A 19,563-nucleotide genomic window follows, 5' to 3' on the forward strand; every position below is an offset into this window, starting at 1 on the left:
TGCCTCATTGCAAGATCATAAAAAGAAGAATGAACATAGATTTTATTGGGATAAGAATAAATTCTAAGACTACTTCCAATTTATTTTTACACCTCAGTGTTATTTATATTTATAATCAAGAGGTAGCTTAAATGTAAAATTCTGGCTGGGTGTGGTGGCTCATGCCTGTAATCCCAGAACTTTGGGAGGTCGAGGCAGGTGGATCACCTGAGGTCAGGAGTTCAAGACCAGCCTGGCCAACATGGTGAAACCTTGTCTCTACTAAAAATACAACAATTAGCCGGGCATGGTGGCAGGCACCTGTAATCCCAGCTACTAGGGAGGCTGAGGCAGGAGAATCGCTTGAACCCGGGAGGCGGAGGTTGTGGTGAGCCGATATCACACCACTGCACTCCAGCCTGAGAGACAGAGTGAGACTCCATCTTAAAAAATAAATAAATAAAAATAAAAGTAAATAAATATAATTTCATGGAAAAAGATAGTCCACACTGGGATAGTAGTACATGTCTGTGTTTGATGAAACTATTAGCTATTCTTATTAATTTTCATATCACCATTTTATACATAAGAAAAATGAAGTTCAGAATATTGAAGCGTTTTTCCTAAATAACATTCCTAGTTTTATTAAGTAATTTTTATCAACAACAACAATATGTGTATTATCATCATGTGACAGGAAATGTTCTCTGCTGTTGTCTGACTCAAATAATGGCTCTTTAAATTGTGAGGGCAAATTAAAAAACCTTTCAGATGAATCAGCTTAAAATGTTCTTTGCATTTGTATGTTCTATGTCTATTTGCAACAGAACTAGAAGGGAAATAGTTTGCTTTGTGGACAAAAGACCTACTAGAATTGAGTGGAAGCTTTGTGATTGATACAGAATAAGGGCTAGAACACAGCACACTAGGATGAGTACTAGATTCAGAGTCCAGAGCTTTTGTGTTTAGCTCCATCTCTAACTCTAGCTATGTAATTGGTTTTTGTTCTATTTTGTTTTGTTTTCCTTTTAGATGCTCAATTTTTGATCTGTAAATTGATTGTATTTGAGCAAAATGATCACTGAAGAAGGTCACTTTAATACTACTATTTGATGAGAATAAACCTACCTTGTTGAGTAATCCTAAAGTTAGTACTGTATTATTCTTATAAAATAAGCAGCTGGAATATTTTAATAGTAACAAATGCATGACTGAATTCTCTAGATAGTGCTCTCTGAAAATTTATGGACTTCTGGGACAAGTTTTCTTAGGAATCATGTTCAATAGTAAGTTATGATGCTTATAGAATTTTTAAGAAATATAAAATGTGAAGAGGCAAGATATAAAAGAGAAACAGGAAGAAAGCCAAGGTCATAAAATGATTTGAACATGAAAGCAAAATTATGAGGTCGGCTATGAAGGTCAGTCACCAAGGTAGTAAGGAGTGAGGTAAAGAGCTCTAAAGCTGGAACTATTTAGGCAACTGAGATCCCATTTACCCAAGTGCATTTTCTGAAAGGTGCTATGCTAGCTTGGAAGAGCCAATACAATCTAGGAGTCAGTCATATTGCTCTCTTTGGAGCATTCTCAGCTACAAGACCCAAAGCCCAGCTTTGCTTTCATCATGAGATGCTCCTCAAATAACCAGCCTATGAAATGGTAAGTAATAAAATGTTCAGTCTTGTGCCTCTGGACATTATTACAATAAAAGAGAAGGTGACACTAATGACTATAAATCCCTAAAGAAAATATTTTCAATGGATAATGAAATTATACATTCTCATAGTCTCCCAATTATCCAAAGCTGCATGTGGACATTTTTGGTAGGCATTCTGGTAGCTTCCATTCTTTAAGCATATCTAGCTGTAGGAAATTGTGTTTTATTGTTGTTGTTGCAAACCAATTTTTCAATTTATTTTCAAATTAGGCCATTGGGAAGGTGAGTAAGAATGTTTGGCTAGGATAGATAGATAGCTTCATATTAAAGAACTTACTTTGTGTAATTATTTCTACTTTATTAACCGAGCTTTCAGAAAAAAATACATCATTGTGTATTTTAATAATATTTCTAATTCTCCAAGATAAATTGAAAGAAAATATTATACAAAGATTATAAATAATACATTGTATCAATTAAATTGAACAGGGAAATTGAAGATTTAGAAGATAAAACATTTAAGCATTTAAGGGGTAATGTACGAAAAAAAAACAAAGCATTTTCAGGGTACAGATTACCAAAAACTCATTTTGCTACAGAATACCCTCACCAAAAAAGAGTGAATTACCCTTCAAGACTCTAATGAAGATAATTTTGTCAAGGTCATTAGCTGCTCAATAGTGTTTTATAAGAGCTGTAAAAGAATTGCACCTGGATTCTCTCACAATTGTTTGTATATCAGGAAAAGGGAAATGGTGTGCAGATTGGTTACCAATTATATTAAAATATTAGTTACAGCACTTGCAAATGTTTTTGAGTCATAATAACAGGCAGAAAACAGGTTCAGAGTCATCTGTTATAAATTCTAGTTTCACAACAGGCACAGATGCATCAGTTCATGCCTAATTATACTCTTCCATGTGAGATATAAAATACTTCAGGGTTTCTGTAATAGAGACTCATTAAAACAGTTAAGATATAATTTTAAAACTCTTTCTACCAGGGCTAATGTTAATATAGAAACTAATTGCTCTGATAGGCCTTTGGGACCCATATTTACCAAAGTGCCATTCTTTTTGGCTTACCTAGATTCTGTAGCCACATTTACTTCCTGACAATGAAACTTCTATTGGAAACCCATTTTTTATACTTGAGAATGAATTTGGATAGTTCATAGAAATAAGAATAATTATTTTGGATTACTAGTTTACAGAAAAAAGAGAAAATATGACACTACAAAAATTCTAAAGCTATAAATAGTTAAATTCAATATCACATTCATCATCAAACCCAGCCAATCTGAAGCTCTCACATATTGATATAATTGACTTTAATTTAGTCATCTGTCATTTTTCATTTCATATTCTTCAGTTCAATTAATCAAATACCTATTAGGTGCAAGTTTCTCTGATAGAGTTAAAGTTGAATACGATACAGGCTTTGCCCTCCTCTCATTCATGGGACTGCCAAATAAATGGAAGAGGCAAGTAAGTACTAAGCAACTAATACAAGGCAGACTATCATAAAGATTATAACGTAGTTCAAGTAAAGGGTAACAGGTGAACATGGAGGGAAATGTAGACAGGATGAAGAAAGGCTTCACAGAGGATATTACACTTGAATAGGTCTTTAAGGTGTACATATAACCTCAACATAGGGAATTTGGAAAGAAGAAAAAGAGTTCAACATAAGTAAAACATGGATGCAAAAGACAGAGAGTGTGTATGTCATAGTGTGGTTGAAGTATCAGCATGTACTAGGAAAATATGGCTAGATAAGCTGTTGCCAGACACTAAGAGTCGAGCGGAAAATTTTGGATTTTATTTTGCATACAATAAGAAATAATTGAAAGGTTTTTTTGAGGAGAGTAACAAGTTGGCATTTCCTTTGTTGGCAGTGTAGAGACATAATAAAGAAGAAGAGATTAGAGATGAGAAGACCAGTTAAGTGGCTATTTAAAGAGAGGTTTAAATTAAATGATTGTAAAATAATTAGAAAAAAGCATCTTGGAATTAAGACACACTAATTTCCTTATAGGCTTGAAAATAACCAGGCAATATTATCATGTTCATTTGTGTTCATGCTTTGCATGATATTACAATATGCATGAGGATTAAAATGATCATAATATTACACCACTAAATCTTAGAAAGATCTAAAGTAGGTCATTAGAAACATGTGAGTAACCATCTCCAGTACCTCAGAATTTGACTGTATTTGGAGACAGATCCTTTAAAGAGGCAATTAAGTTAAAATGAGATTATTATGTTGAGTCCTAATCAAATAAGACTGGGTTCTTTCTTATAAGAAGAGGAAATTTGAACATAGGCACACACAGAGGGAAAAAAATTGAAGACACAGACAAAAGACCATCTACAAGTCAAAAAGAAATGCCTGGATCTGATCCTTTTTTCATAGCTCTGAGAAGGCACCAATCCTACCGACACCTTAATCTTGGACTTCTAGCATCCAGAATTGTGAGAAAATAAATTTCTGTTGTTTAAGCAACCTAGTCTCTGCTATTTGGTTACAGCTGACCTAGCAAACTAATAAAAGTTTGCTATGGTTAATCCAGATAAGATGACCTCAATTAACAATTTCTGCATGTCTATAATAATGAAAAATATGGTCAGAAATCTGTGTCAATAACTAGAACAAAAAATGAACACAAATGAACATTACACCACCTTGGTTGTCATGCACATCATCCAAAAACATGGATAGATTATGAAACTACAGCTATAAATCACTTAAAGATAGGAATACGTCCTGAGACATATGTAATTAGTCAATTTTGTTGCTGTGAGACATCGTAGTGTATTTATGCCAACCTAAGTAGATTAGAGTACTACGCACCTAGGCGGTGTCACATAACCTATAGTTCCAAGGCTACAACCTGTATTGTATATCACTGTACTGATTACTGCAGTCAATTGTAACATAATGGCAAGTATTTGTGTGTCTAAACATATCTAAACATAGAAAAGATACAGTAAAAATACAGTATGAAAGATAAAATGTGGTACAGCTGTATAGGGCACTTATGGATGCAGTTTGGAGGACTGGAAGTTGCTGTGGATGAGTCAGTGAGTAAGTGGTGAGTGTGAAGGCCCACAATATTGGTGTAAACAACTGTAGACTTTATAAAAACTGCATGCTTAGGCTACATTACATTTATTTTAAAATATTTGTCTTTATTAATAAATTAACCTTAGCTTACTGTAACTTTTTTACTTCATAAACGTTTTAATTTTTTTAACTTTTTGACTCTTTTTTAATAACACCTTAAAACACAAACACATGACATAGCTGTAAAAAACTATTTTATTTTATCCTTATTCTTGAAGCTTTTTGCCATTTTAAATATTTTTTGCTGTTTAAACATTTTGTTAAAAAAAGACACAAATGCAAACATGATCCAGGCCTAAACAGAGTCAGGATTATCAATATCACTGTCTTCCAGTGCCACACCTTGTCCCACCGAATGGTCTTCAGGGGCAATTCCACATATGGAGCTGTCATCACCTATGATAACAATGCTTTCTTCTATAATACCTCCTAAAGGACCTATCTGAGGCTGTTCTGCAGTTAACACTTCTTTATAAGTATAATAGAACACTCTAAAATAACAATTAAAAAGAGTAAATACATAAACCAGTAATATAGCCATTTATTATCATTATCAAGTATTATGTACTCTGTGTAATTGTATGTGCTGTACTTGTATATGAATGGCAGCACAGTAGGTTTGTTTAAACCAGCATCACCACAAATCTGAATAATGCATTTTGCTATGATGTTATGACAGCTACATATATGACACTAGGTCACGGGAATTTTTCAGCTCCATTATAATCTTATGGGACCACTGACATATATGCATTTCATCATTGACCAATACATCATTAAATGGCATGTGACTGTATATAATAATTTGGGATTGTTAGTTAATGAATGCATACAATTATCCTTCAAACATGGCTTGATAAAAGAATTCTAATAAAGGCATAAATACAAATGTAACAATATTTTACAAAGTAACTGTTCTGAAATTATTAGAATAAAGATCTTTAATCTTGTCTCCAAACCTCCATTCTCTTCAACCTATAATATTAATTATTATAGTATATACCAGATGAGCATTCTTTTTTTTTATTATACTTTAAGTTTTAGGGTATATGTGCACAACATGCAGGTTTGTTACATATGCATACATGTGCCATGTTGGTGTGCTGCACCCATTAACTTGTCATTTAATATTAAGTATATCTCCTGATACTATCTCTCCCCCCTCCCTCCACCCCACAACAGGCCCCGGTGTGTGATGTTCCCCTTCCTGTGTCCATGTGTTCTCATTGTTCAATTCCCACCTATGAGTGAGAACATGCGGTGTTTGGTTGTTTGTCCTTGCCATAGTTTGCTGAGAATGATGGTTTCCAGCTTCATCCATGTCCCTACAAAGGACATGAACTCATCCTTTTTTCTGGCTGCATAATATTCCATGGTGTATATGTGCCACATTTTCTTAATCCAGTCTATCATTGTTGGACATTTGGCTTGGTTTCAAGTCTTTGCTATTGTGAATAGTGCCACAGTAAACATACGTGTGCATGTGTCTTTATAGCAGCATGATTTATAATCCTTTGGGTATATACCCAGTAATGGGATGGCTGGGTCAAATGGTATTTCTAGTTCTAGATCCCTGAGGAATCGCCACACTGACTTCCACAATGGTTGAACTAGTTTACAGTCCCACCAACAGTGTTAAAGTGTTCTTATTTCTCCACATCCTCTCCAGCCCCTGTTGTTTCCTGACTTTTTAATGATAGCCATTCTAACTGGTGTGAGATGGTATCTCATTGTGATTTTGATTTGCATTTCTGTGATGGCCAGTGATGATGAGCATTTGTTCATGTGTGTTTTGGCTGCATAAATGTCTTCTTTTGAGAAGTGTCTGTTCATATCCTTTGCCCACTTTTTCATGGAGTTGTTTGTTTTTTTCATGAGATGAGCATTCTTAATCCAGAGTTATGATCATATTTCTTCTTTACTCTGTATCTTCCACATTTCATCCACTGCTTCCCTTCTAGTTACTGTGCATGCTAGAGGTGAACTCAAGGCTTTCACTTATTTCCAAGGTGGAGTATTTTTTATTGTCTATCATTCTCCTTCCCATCCCAAGATGTTGGTCAGAGTTTTAATAGTGGGCTACAGCCTGTTGATCTCACCTTAGTTTTAATTGATCAGCAGCCCTTTCTAATGTGTTGGTTTTCTGTTTTAGGACTGACTCCTGTATCTCCTTTACATTTTCCACAGATCTTGTCCTGTTAGGCTTAGTCCATTAGTCAGGATCTGGATATATATGGTAAACAGAAATGTTGATGATAACATTTCTGACTGGTACCAGGTTATCTGACTGAATTATTCCTGTTTTATCTCAAACTTTTGGTCACATATATTGTTGTTAGTCTCTTTTGAATTAAGTATTAAGATTATAGGACTTCTTCAGATGCTATTCCTGGAATATCTGTTTATTTAGACTGTCTAAATCAGAATCTTTCTTCCTCAAGTCCACCTTGAAAAGAAAACTTCTGTTCTCACCCTGAAAGCCTGGTTTTGCTAAAGACTCATTTTGCTTCATGTCTAAACCTGTCTAGGTTTAAATGCAAATTTTGAATTCTGTGAGGTCAATGGTGCCTTGCTCTTTCATTGAATAGAAATGATGTATTTATAGTGAGGCACATATATTTTTACTAGTTTATGATGTCAAAAATAGATAAGGACTTTTGAATGGCAAACAACAGAAATATAATCTAGTTAATATGAGAATAATATGGTTGAGATATTTAATGAAACCATTTTTATTTTTTCTAATGCCTAATTGCTAGTCGTCCTTTGGTACCTACAGCCAATGAACCAATAACAAAATACATTTGAACACAAAGGAGTCTATTTATTAATTCATTTATTTGCCTTGGTGTATCAAAATAGAGAGTTGGGTTTTTGTCTTTGTTTCTGTTTTGAGGTTTATGAGTGTGCATGAGTGTTGTTTACAGATTTTCATTTTTAGATTTTATTTTTTAACTTTTATTTTATGTTCAAAGTACACATGCAGGTATGTTACATAGGTAAATTGAATATCATGGGGGTTTTGTGTTCCCATTATTTCATCACCCAATAAATACTCAGAGTTTTTCAATCCTCACCCTCCTTCCACCTTCCACACTCAAGTAAGCCCCAGTGTCTGTTGTTCCCTTGTTTGTGTCCATGTATACTCAAGGTTCAGCTCCCACATATAAGTGAGAACCTGCAGTATTTGGTTTTTCATTTCTGCATTTGTTCACTTAGGATAATGGCCTCCATTAATATTTCTGCAAAAGACATGATCTCATTTCTTTATTGGCTACATAGTATTCCATAGTATATATGTATCACATTTTCTTTATCCAGTCTACCATTGATGGGCATTTGAGTTGATTCCATGTCTTTGCTATTGTGAAAAGTGCTGCAATGAACATATGCATGCTTGTGTCTTTATGATTGAATGATTTTATTCTATTTTTCTATTTTTCATATTCTTGTTGGCTGTGTGTATGTCTTCTTTTGAAAAGTCCCTGCTAATGTGCTTTGCTCACTTTGTAATGTGGTCATTTGTTTTTGCTTGTTAATTTGTTCCAGCTTCTTATAGTTTCTAGATACCACACTTTGTCAGAGCCATAGTTTGCAAATATTCTCTCCTATTTCATATGTTGTCTGTTTACTCTGTTGGTGGTTTCCTTTGCTGTGCAGAATCTCTTAATTTAATTAGGTCCCATTTATCAAATTTTGTTACTTTTTTTTTGCAATTGCTTTTGGCATTTTTGTCATGAAATATTTGCCAGGTTGTATGTCCAGAATGATATTTTCTAGGTTTTCTTTTAGAGTTTCTACAGTTTTATGTTTTATGTTTAAGTCTTTAATCTGTCTTGAGCTGATTTTTGTATATGGTGTAAGGGAGGGATCCAGTTTCAATCTTCTGAATATGACTTGCTGGCTATCCCAGCACCATTTATTGCTTTCCCCATTGCTTGTTTTTGTCAAGTTTGTCAAAGATCAGATGGTTGTTGATGTGCAGCATTATTTTGGGACTCTCTATTCTATTCCGTTTGTCTATGTGTCTGTTTTTGTACTAATACCATGCTGTTTTGGTTATGGTAACCTGGTAGTGTAGTTTGAAGTTGAGTAACGTGATGCCTCCAGATTTGTTCCTTTTCCTTAGGATTGTCTTGGCTATTTGGGCTCTTTTTTGGTTACATATGAATTTGAAAATTGTTTTTTTCTAATTCTCTGAAGAATGTCATTGGTAGATTGATAGGAATATCATTGAATCTGTAGATTGTTTGGGGAAGTGTGGCCATCTTAAGAACTTTGATTCTTCCTATCCATGAGCACAAAATGTTTTTCCATTTGCTTGAGTCACCTCTGACTTTTTTGAGCAGTGTCTTATCACTCTTCTTGTAGAGATCTTTCACCTCCTTGATTAGCTGTATCCCTAGGTATTTTAATTTTTTGTGATTATTTTGAATGGGACCACATTCTTAATTTGGCTCCCAGGTTGGACGTTGTTGGTGTATAGAAATGCTATTGATTTTGTACATTAATTTTGTGTCCAGAAACATTGCTGAAGTTGTTTTTCAGATCTAAGAGCTTTTGGGCAGAAATTACGATGTTTTTTACATATAGCATTATATTGTCTGAAAGCAGAGATAGTTTGACTTCCTAACTTTCTATTTGGATGCCTTGTATTTCTTTGTCTTGCTTGTTGGCTCTGGCTAGGACTTCCAATACTATGTTGAATAGGAGTGTGAGAGTGGGTATCCTGATCTTGCTCATTTTCTTAAGGGAAATGCTTTTAGCTTTTGCCCATTCAGTATGATGTGGGCCGTGCATTTGTCATAGATTGCTCTTATTATTTTGATGTATGTTCCTTCAATGCTTAGTTTGTTGAGGGTTTTTAACATGAAGGGATTTGAATTTTATCAAAAGCCTTTCTGTGATTATTGAGATGATCGTATCATTTTCTTTTTAGGTCTATTTATGTGATGAATCTCACTTATTGATTTGCATATGTTTAATCACACTTGTATCCTAGGGATTTAGCCAACTTGATCATGGTGGGTTATATTTTTGATGTGCTGGTGGATTGGGCTTTCTAGTATTTTGTTGAGGATATTTGCATGTATGTTTATCAAGGATATTGGCCTAAAGTTTTTTTGTTGTTGCTGTGTCTCTGCCAGGTTTTGGTATCAGGATGATGCTGGCCTCATAGAATAAGTTAGGGAGGAGTCCCTCCTAAATTTTTTGGAATAGTTTCGGGAGAAATGATGTCAGCCCTTTTTTATAAATATGGTAATAGTTTGCAGTGAATCTGTCTGGCCCTGGACTTTTTCTGGTTGGTAGGCTTTTTATTACTAATTTAATTTCAGAACTCATTATTTGTCTGTTCAGGGATTCTATTTCTTCCTGGTTCAATCTTGGGCATTGTATATTTTCAGAAATTCATGCATTTCTTCTAGGTTGTCTAGTACGTGTGCGTAGAGGTATTCATAGTAGTCTCTGAAGGTTTTCTGTGTCTTTGTAGGGTCAGTTGTAATGTCCCTTTTGTGTTTATTTAGATTTTTTCTTTATTAATCTAGCTAGTGTTTTATCAATCGTGTTTATTCTTTCACAACCCAACCACTAGGTTTGTCGATTTTTTGTATAATTTTTTTTTTTGCATCTCAATTCTTTTCAGTCCAGCTCTGATTTTGTTTACTTAATATTTTCTGCTAACTTTAGGGCTAGTTTTTTCTTGGTCCTCTGCTTCATCTAGGTGTAACATTAGATTATTAATTTGAGACATTTCTAACTTTTGGATATGGGTGTTTAGTGCTATAAACTTCTCTCTTAACAATGCTTTAGCTGTGTCCCAGAGATTATAGAATGTGATATCTTGGTTCTCATTAGTTTCAATTAATTTTTTTTCTTTCTGCCTTGATTTCATTGTTTACCCAAAAGTCATTCAGGAGCAGATTCTTTAATTTTCATGGTATTGTATGGTTTTCAGTGATTTTCTTCATACTGATTTCTAATTTTATTGTGCTGTGGTTTGAGAGTGTGGTTGTTATGACTTTAGTTTTTTGAATTTGCTGTGGATTGCTTCTGGGCCAATTGTGAGGCTGATTTTAGAGTATGTGTCTTGTGCAGATGAGAAGAATGTATATTCTGTTGTTTTTTGATATAGAGTTCTGTACATGTCTGTTAGGCTTAGTCAGGTGACATGTTAAGGTCCCAAATATCTTTGTTAGTTTTCTTTGATAACCAGTCCAACACTTTCAGTGGGGTGTTGAAGTCCCCCTTTATTATTGTTCAGTTATCTAAGTATCTTTGTAGATCACTAAGAACCTGCTTTATGAATCTGAGTGCTCCTTGGATGGGTGCATATATATTTAGCATAGTTAGGTCTTCTTTTGAATTGAACTCTTTACCATTTTGTAGTGCCCTTCTTTGTCTTTTCTTTATAGTTGTTGGCTTAAAGTTTCTTTTGTCTGAAATTAGGATTTCAAGCCCTGCCCTTTTCTGATTTCAATTAGCTTGGCAGATTTTTCTCCATCCCATTATTTAGAGGCTATTTGTGTCATTGATGTGAAATGGGTCTCTTGAAGATAGCATGACATTGGGTCTTGCTTCTTTATTCAGCTTGCCACTCTGTGCCTTTCAAATAAGGCATTTAGCCAATTTACATTCAAGGGTAATATTCATATGTGTGTATTTGATCCTGACGTTGTGTTGTTAGCTGTTATTTATACTGGATTGCTTGTGTGGTTGCTTTATAGTGTCAGTGGTCTGTTTACTTATGTGTGTTTTTGTAGTAGCTGGTAATGGTCTTTCCTTTTCATATTGAGCACTCTTTTCCAGATCTCTTGTAAGACATGTCTGGTGGCAATTAACTACATTTTCTGCTCTGTAGAGAATGTTAATTCTTCTTTACTTATGAAGCTTAGATTGGCTGGATATGAAATTATTGGTTGGAATTTCTTTTGTTTAAAAATGCTGAATAAATGGCAACAAAAGCCAAAATTGACAAATGGGATCTAATTAAACTAAAGAACTTTTGCACAGCAAAAGAAACCACCATCAGAGTGAACAGGCAACCTACAGAATGGGAGAAAATTTTTGCAACCTACTCATCTGACAAAGGGCTAATATCTAGAATCTACAATGAAAACCAACAAATTTACAAGAAAAAAACAAACAACCCCATTAAAAAGTGGGTGAAGGATATGAACAGACACTTCTCAAAAGAAGACATTTATGCAGCCAAAAGACACATGAACAAATGCTCATCATCACTGGCCATCAGAGAAATGCAAATCAAAACCACAATGAGATACCATCTCACACCAGTTAGAATGGCGATCATTAAAAAGTCAGGAAACAACAGGTGCTGGAGAGGATGTGGAGAAATAGGAACACTTTTACACTGTTGGTGGGACTGTAAACTAGTTCAACCATTGTGGAAGTCAGTGTGGTGATTCCTCAGGTACCTAGAGTTCCTCAGCAATGAGGAACTGAGTCAATTAAAGCTTTTTTGTTTATAAATTACCCAGTCTCAGGTACTATCTTTTTTTTTTTTTTTTTTTTTTGAGACGGAGTCTCGCTCTGTGGCCCAGGCGGGAGTGCAGTGGCGCAATCTCTGCTCACTGCAAGCTCTGCCTCCCGGGTTCACGCCATTCTCCTGCCTCAGCCTCCCGAGTAGCTGGGACTACAGGCGCCCACCATCACGCCCGGCTAATTTTTTTGGTATTTTTAGTAGAGACGGGGTTTCACAGTGTTAGCCAGGATGGTCTCAATCTCCTGACCTCGTGATCCGCCCGCCTCGGCCTCCCAAAGTGCTGGGATTACAAGAATGAGCCACCGCGCCCGGCCAGGTACTATCTTTATAGCAGTGTGAAAATGGACTAACACAGCCTTTTGGAAGAAAATGAGTCTCTGGTCTCAGGTTTTGCTGCTCTCTCTTTGCTAAGATGGTTTATTCCTAAATGGGTAGGTCCCATGTTATTAGGAAAGCTCATTTTTAGCAGGTTGTGAAGTCTCATGTCCTACAAGGGGAAAATAGGGAAAAGAAGGGAGAAAAATTACAACAAAAGAGCAATCTTGGAAAATTAATATAGGCCATCTTACTCTAAAGTTCATATATTAGTAGGCAGGGAAGAAAGTGGCTTGTGTATGTAAATAGGTTGCTGTTATTTTTTTCTGAAGTTTAAGTTGTCTAGCTTCAGTTTGCAGGGCTTTAAAAAAGCACAGATTAGTTTTCAATAATTTCAAATTAGGAAAATCAGGGGAAAATGGGAAGAAAAGGAAAACAGAGAAGGAAAAAATTGTTTAAAAAAAATTCTTATTGCACTTATGCAAAAAAACCTATATTTCCATAAGTTAAGAATACTCACAAATAGTTTCCAAATTCTGAAGAAATCAGGTAAAGAGAAACAAATATGCTCCAAATTTTGTTCATAGTAGTATACTGTACTCAATTGCAATAAGCTATAAATAGCTCAAAAGAAACATTTTATTGACTCTAAAAAAACAAAACAAAGGAACAGCAATGTTTTGAGCAAAAAAGTCAAAAAAGATTATTTCAGTCTTCTATGAGTTCAGCCTATGAAGGTAACTCCTGTCCTGCTTGATATTCATGAACATTCCAGCTCTCCATGAGAGTTCTGAAAGATATTCCTCTATTCTCATGTCACAATCTCAAAAGTTATTAGAACCCTGCCTTCAAGAACACCTGTTAGAGTTTTATAGCTTATTATAAAACTACTTTCTAAATAAGACCAAAACAAGAAGACAATCGTCTGTGGATGACAAAAAGTTTTGGAGCAGCCACAGTCAAAGACACAATTGACAAGGAAGTTTATTACCTCTGTAGCACACAATATTTTAACATAACAATTATAATTATTACTTATAATGTACACTCTCATATCAGAATTATAAGATTTTTCCATAATTTTGGAACATGTACTAATAACATTTTGTACAAAGAAAGCCAAACATTATTTCATATTTGACAATGCTCCCTGTATGATTTTTATACCAAATAAGCCAAATACGTCATTTTTGAACTTTAGGGAACCTAATATCTTAAAGGATTAATTAGATCAGAAAAAAACAAAAATTATAATTTTATCTTGAAAAGTTTGTCAAATATCAAAGGTTTAAAATGCTTGATATTACAAAATAGGATCACAGGTAATTGTAAAATAAGTCAATCATTTAAGCAAAATGATAACTCAAAGATTTCAAAAAAAAGGCAAAAACCTTTATTCTTTGAGAAAGGAGACTTAGTTTTCCAAACAATAAACCCTAATAAAAACAGCATAAAGCCTATTAAATTTGTTTTTTAAAATTTTATAAACAATCTATAAAATTTGAGTCATAGGACTCATAAGATTTGGTCTTTACAGCCTTTATTAAGGGGTTGATTAATTCTTCAAGAAAACCTTGCTAATATGACACAGGGGCCCATATTCTGGTCTTGCATCAGTATGCCTTTGACATTAATGTTTCATTTATAGAGAAACTGAAGTTATTTTTTCTCTCAAAATCAGCTCTTACAACCTCGTGTGCCCACCTCTTCTGTGATAGTCCCTTGGCCTCGAAGAGTTGAATAGCTTTACTTTCTGGCCCTGTGTCTCATGAATGCAGTTTATTTTGATTAGTATATTCTATCAGATATGAATTCAATATCTGATAGGCTCTAACTGCTGTCAGTGTTAAGATTTAGCAGGACTTGGTGTCCTTCTTAGACTAAGAAGTCAAAGCCCTGTAACTTAATGACACAAGGACTTTAAAAATACATACAGAAAGTGACACAGATTTAATCTTAATTAAATTTTTTATACTCTCAGTTTTTTTAAGCAAACCGAACTTAGTAATAATGATGTATGAATTATTTCGATAAACCATAAGATCTGTTTATCAGGCCAGTTACCCAAGGCAAAAGAAAAGACTTTGCTGTTCCCTATGGGAAATGTTATGTTAGAAAAAAATCCTTTTAAGATATAACTTTTATTTTTATGTTTTAATTCTTAAAATTTTTTAGCATTAGGCCACAGCAGTTAGAACCCAAAAGGGGAAAAAACACAAACTTTCACAAATTGAAAATAAGTTGAAAGATAGAGTTATTATTTCATTTTTGTCCTTTTAAAATGTGAGAGAAAGCTTAAAAAACAGCGAGACACAGTAAAAGTTGAATTTTCCATTAAAAATAGTATAATGTCTTGTAATTTAAGAGTAAAGCAATATCCTAATAAAATTTTGTAGTTTGAATGAATTCTTCAGTGTTTAAGTTTTTTTAATCAAAATTTAATCTCTAGAAAATCCATTATAATTTTCATTTAATTATATGCAACTTGATCAATGAAAGTTTTTTTTTTAATATAAATCCTCTTGTTATGATGTACATGGATCATTCATGACATGATTGGACTTTCTGGTTTGTCCTGACCATCCTTCTTTTTTAAACAACCAGTCAGTCATTTTATTCTAGGACAAATTTACCATACAAGATTCTTTCCCACATAAAATTATTTGTGTTTAACCTTTCTTACCAAAAATATCTCTTTATTTCTGTAACATTCTTTAAATCCCTCTTATTTCCTAGTTCCTTTTACATTGTTTTATACATAAACTTTAAATAATCTTTGAATTAGACAAAAATTATTCACCTTTTAAAAAGGACACATTTATTTTTTAGAAATAATGTTTTTCTACCATATTTTTATTGAAAAATACCCAATTAATAACATATCCATTATTTAATTTGATATAACTTTAGATTCTAAATTATGACAAGTGTATTCAGAAGTATTTATCCCATTAAATTTACCTAATTGTTTTGTTTTAATAGTTTACCTAGATTATTTATAAAAACTATGTTAGTCATCATTTACAGTTATGAAACCACCACTGAAAAATTATAACAGAGACAGTGAAAGAGATCTGACCTGCTGACTCCATCTTGTTTCTAGCTTCCAAGCTATCCTTTTTCATTCCTGAGCCGAGGCTGAACTAACTTTGATAGGAACTAGTTTATAGTTTCCCTTTGAAACAAGGATGACAACAGTCCTTTCTCAAAACAAACCCCCTTCCTACCTGGAGACTAAACTGCCTAAAGCCACAATATTAGAAATTATGGTTCAGGATTCATGCAGCTGGAGGCTGCAAGATTCTAAATCTCCCCAAATTGCTACTAAGGGTAACAACACTATTGTAAAATTTAAAATCAGTGCTTGAGATATTTTGCAGACTCTGCACTCTATGGATCAGCTGGCACCACCCAGATTGATACACTGGCTCATCTAGTCTTGTGGCCCCCACCTCGGTCCTAACTTAGCCCAAGAGGACACCTTCTACTCCCTATGATTTCATCTTCAACCCAGCCAATCAAAACTCCCAACTCACTGGCTCATTAACCACCAAATTGTACTTAAAAACTCTGATCCCTGAATTCTTGAGAAGACTGATTTGAATAATAACAAAACTTCAGCCTTCCACACAGCTGGCTCTGTGTGAATTACACTTTCTTTATTGCAATTCCCCTGTCTTAATAAATCAGCTCTGGCTGGGTAGTGGGCAAGGTGAAACTGTTGGGTGGCTGCAGTTATTTCCCTGTCAACTATTTTATAGCCTGTGAATTTTAGGTGTTTACCTAAGTAAGAACCTTAAGATTAACTAAATAATTTAAGATTTAGCAATTTTTATGAAACCAATATTAACATCATATGTATCAAAAATTACAGAAGCAAAGATTATTCTGTTCTGGGCTTGGTTTATAGTTTTGTAACCCTTCTGCCAAATTTTGACACCTTATAGTATTTGACAGGGATAACTGTGAAATTGCTTGATCAATAAATTCAAACAAAAATATATGCTGGAAATTCTTAAAATATTTCTAATATTACTTTACCAATAATTTTAAAGCTAGCTTATTTATTAAAATTTTTACTTAATTCACAAAAATGGGAAAAAGCCTTTGACGGGTCTTTTCCTTTTTTTCTGATAAAGTATTTGATTTAAGTGCTTTTATTTTTCTTAAGCCAATTAATTAGAGTGTTGTATGTTTTTATTAGTGAAACATTATGTACACAGCTCATAGATACATAGACATATTAGGAATGGTGATAGAAGTACATCTTATAGATTCATAAGACTTTTTTTTAGAACAAAACGGGTATATTTCTATTAGACTACCGGATACAGAAGATAGTGTGTTATGGGATGGATAGTATGAATGACAAATAATACAAATATATTTTATTTGAAATAAACAAAAATGCATACACAGCTCAATGAGTAACAAACTGTTTAGAAACAAACTTTTGTTTGACTATGTTACTGAGCAGAAACAAAACGTAAGCATGAACACCTTTTATTTTTGACATGTATCTGGAGATAGGTAGGAAGACACTACTTGTTTTTTAAAAAACTGACTTTCCCCTTAAGGCCTGGTTGTAGAAGTGTAAACAATGTAAATGAATCCACTATTACCAGTTGTCATGTCATATCTATGTCACCTGTGTATTCTGAGATTACACACATACCTGCCAATATACCTGAGAAAGATTACTTTATCACAGTTACAATTGATTTCTTGGCAGGCAGAACTGAGGAAGAGTAATTTGAAATAAGCTTTATATCCTAGTTAGAGGAAATCACTAGTATTTCCTTAAATAACAGGTTACAATAGAAAGACACTGCCTGGAAGTTATCTTTTTCACTTTGGGTCACTTTTAGTTTTTATGACTTACATAGATGTTTAATTCATTTGCTTATAGTACAATCTTGCTATAAAGTACTAAAGCACAAGATACCTAGTATTCCTTCAACATCTGCATTTTTCAAGTTTTTTACTCTACATCCACAGTATGTCAGCAGTTCCTGAATGTTTAGTAAAATGGATAAAATGCTTCTAAAAATGCAGATGTCTATAACTACAATGGTACTAAGATGGGAAGGAGACAATGAGAGAATGGATAAAAGCAAACATGTTCATGTTCAGGGAATGTGGTTCAAGTCTTTGGATTTAAAAACAAGTTCCCCAGAGAAGCTGGCACTTCCTTTGCCCTCCAAAAAGGATCCAAAAAGTCCCAATCCAAACTTTGGAAAGTTACAGTTACAAGATTCAATAAATGATGATCAAAGCAGTCAGAGGGAGAAGGATGAATGTGTCCACTTAGCTATAGATTGTAGCATAGCCTCTTTAGGTGTTGGTGAATCAGTAAAAACCAGTGAAGTACCAGAAGTGGTTGGAAGGATAGGGGTAGAAAGTAATGACCATAATACCTTGTCTAAATCAGTAGCAGGGCTTCATGGCTAGGAAACTTTTTTAAACAGTAAAATGTCATTAGGATAGATTTCTCTCTCACCAACATTAAACGTGGCAGAATTAACAACAACAAAAAAATGGTTTACACATAGATATAGCAATACAGAAAACTACAAGGCAGAGAACACAAAAGAATCAAGATAATGCTATAGGTTCGACAGTATTCCATGAGGCCAGAAAACCAGTTAACTTTGAAAACCCTAGCAAAATATTACTCTTGTTTATAAATCACTTATTTATCATATGACTACACATTGAATCTTTGTCTTTTCACATACTGAAGAATCCTACATTCAGCCTTTAAGCATTCTGCATATCTTTGCCAATCTTGTAGCTGACTATCTTGTTCCAGTCGATTTTGGTGCAGGTAACTGGAAGCTGCCGGCACAAGGCCTTGAACGTGGTATCTGACAGTGTTTGATAGTTTTCACTAATTGCTGTCTGATACTCATTTTCTGCATTCTCTATGATTTTAATAAACTCCTTGGCAGTTTGGGCTTCATTCGAAACAGCGAATCCTGTACATCTTTATGACTAACCAACTGAACGATGCCAACTTCATAATAGTGAACCTGAATCTTAAGCACTCCAACCACCTGGGCTGTAGATGGTGTGATGGCGAACTTCCACTCTGATCTCCAACCACCATTCCAGAAGTTTTTAGGCTGAAACTGGTGGCTTTCAATATGTGCAATAATAGTCTGTTGTTAATTGATAGTTTTAGCATAGACAGTACAGAAGCTGTTGGAATAATAGTCTTTCACATAGGCTCTTAAAGCACAGTGACAGGATTCTCTCCAAGACTTCAGACCTCCATCTACTTCTTCTGGCTGGGGGTCACTTGCTTCTTTCTATAAGTGATCAAATTTAAAGGAAATTTTGTTTCTTGGATCTCAAACTCTGCTATTACCCAGGTCACTGTGCTGTGTAATTAAGACCTGATCTTCATATCCTTCTATCTTCACAGGCGTGAACTGATCCAGGTTATACTGGGCAAAGGCATGTGCTGCCCCTTCCGAGGAGACTGTCATTATTAAGTAGTAGCCGAACATCATTGAATGCTTCATTAAATTCTTCTGGGGGTGCATGAGTGGTGAATTTAGCAGCCATGCCTACTGTCTCCTCATCCGTCACACAATCATCGAAGTCGTCCATCTTGGGCTGTTCTAAGACCTTTTTTTCACACTTTCAAAATGATAACCTATTTTATTACCCTAGGTAATTGTCAGCTAAATAACCACAAATTTTCATATTGAAGAAAATAACCCTTAGGTGAAAAATTAGATAACAAAAACGTACATCTCAAAGTAAAGAGAGAAAAAGTCTGGTGTGCTAGAGGGAAATCAAAACCAGCTTAATTGCCATTTAAACATAAAATAGAAATCTATCATAAAGGCCTTTTAAATATATACACACACAAACACACACACACTCACACACACAAATTCTGTAACTTTTACTTCAGAACTCTAGCCATGAGATATTAATACAAATTTACTGGCTTTCAAAAACAAAATAA

At 34.3% G+C, this 19,563-nt stretch overlaps 1 pseudogene; it reads right to left on the reverse strand.

Moving 5' to 3' along the window:
- CAPZA1P1 (CAPZA1 pseudogene 1) lies at positions 16,874-19,212 on the reverse strand (annotated as a pseudogene).

Source organism: Homo sapiens, chromosome X (genome assembly GCF_000001405.40).
Source record: "Homo sapiens chromosome X, GRCh38.p14 Primary Assembly".
Lineage (NCBI taxonomy): Eukaryota > Metazoa > Chordata > Mammalia > Primates > Hominidae > Homo > Homo sapiens.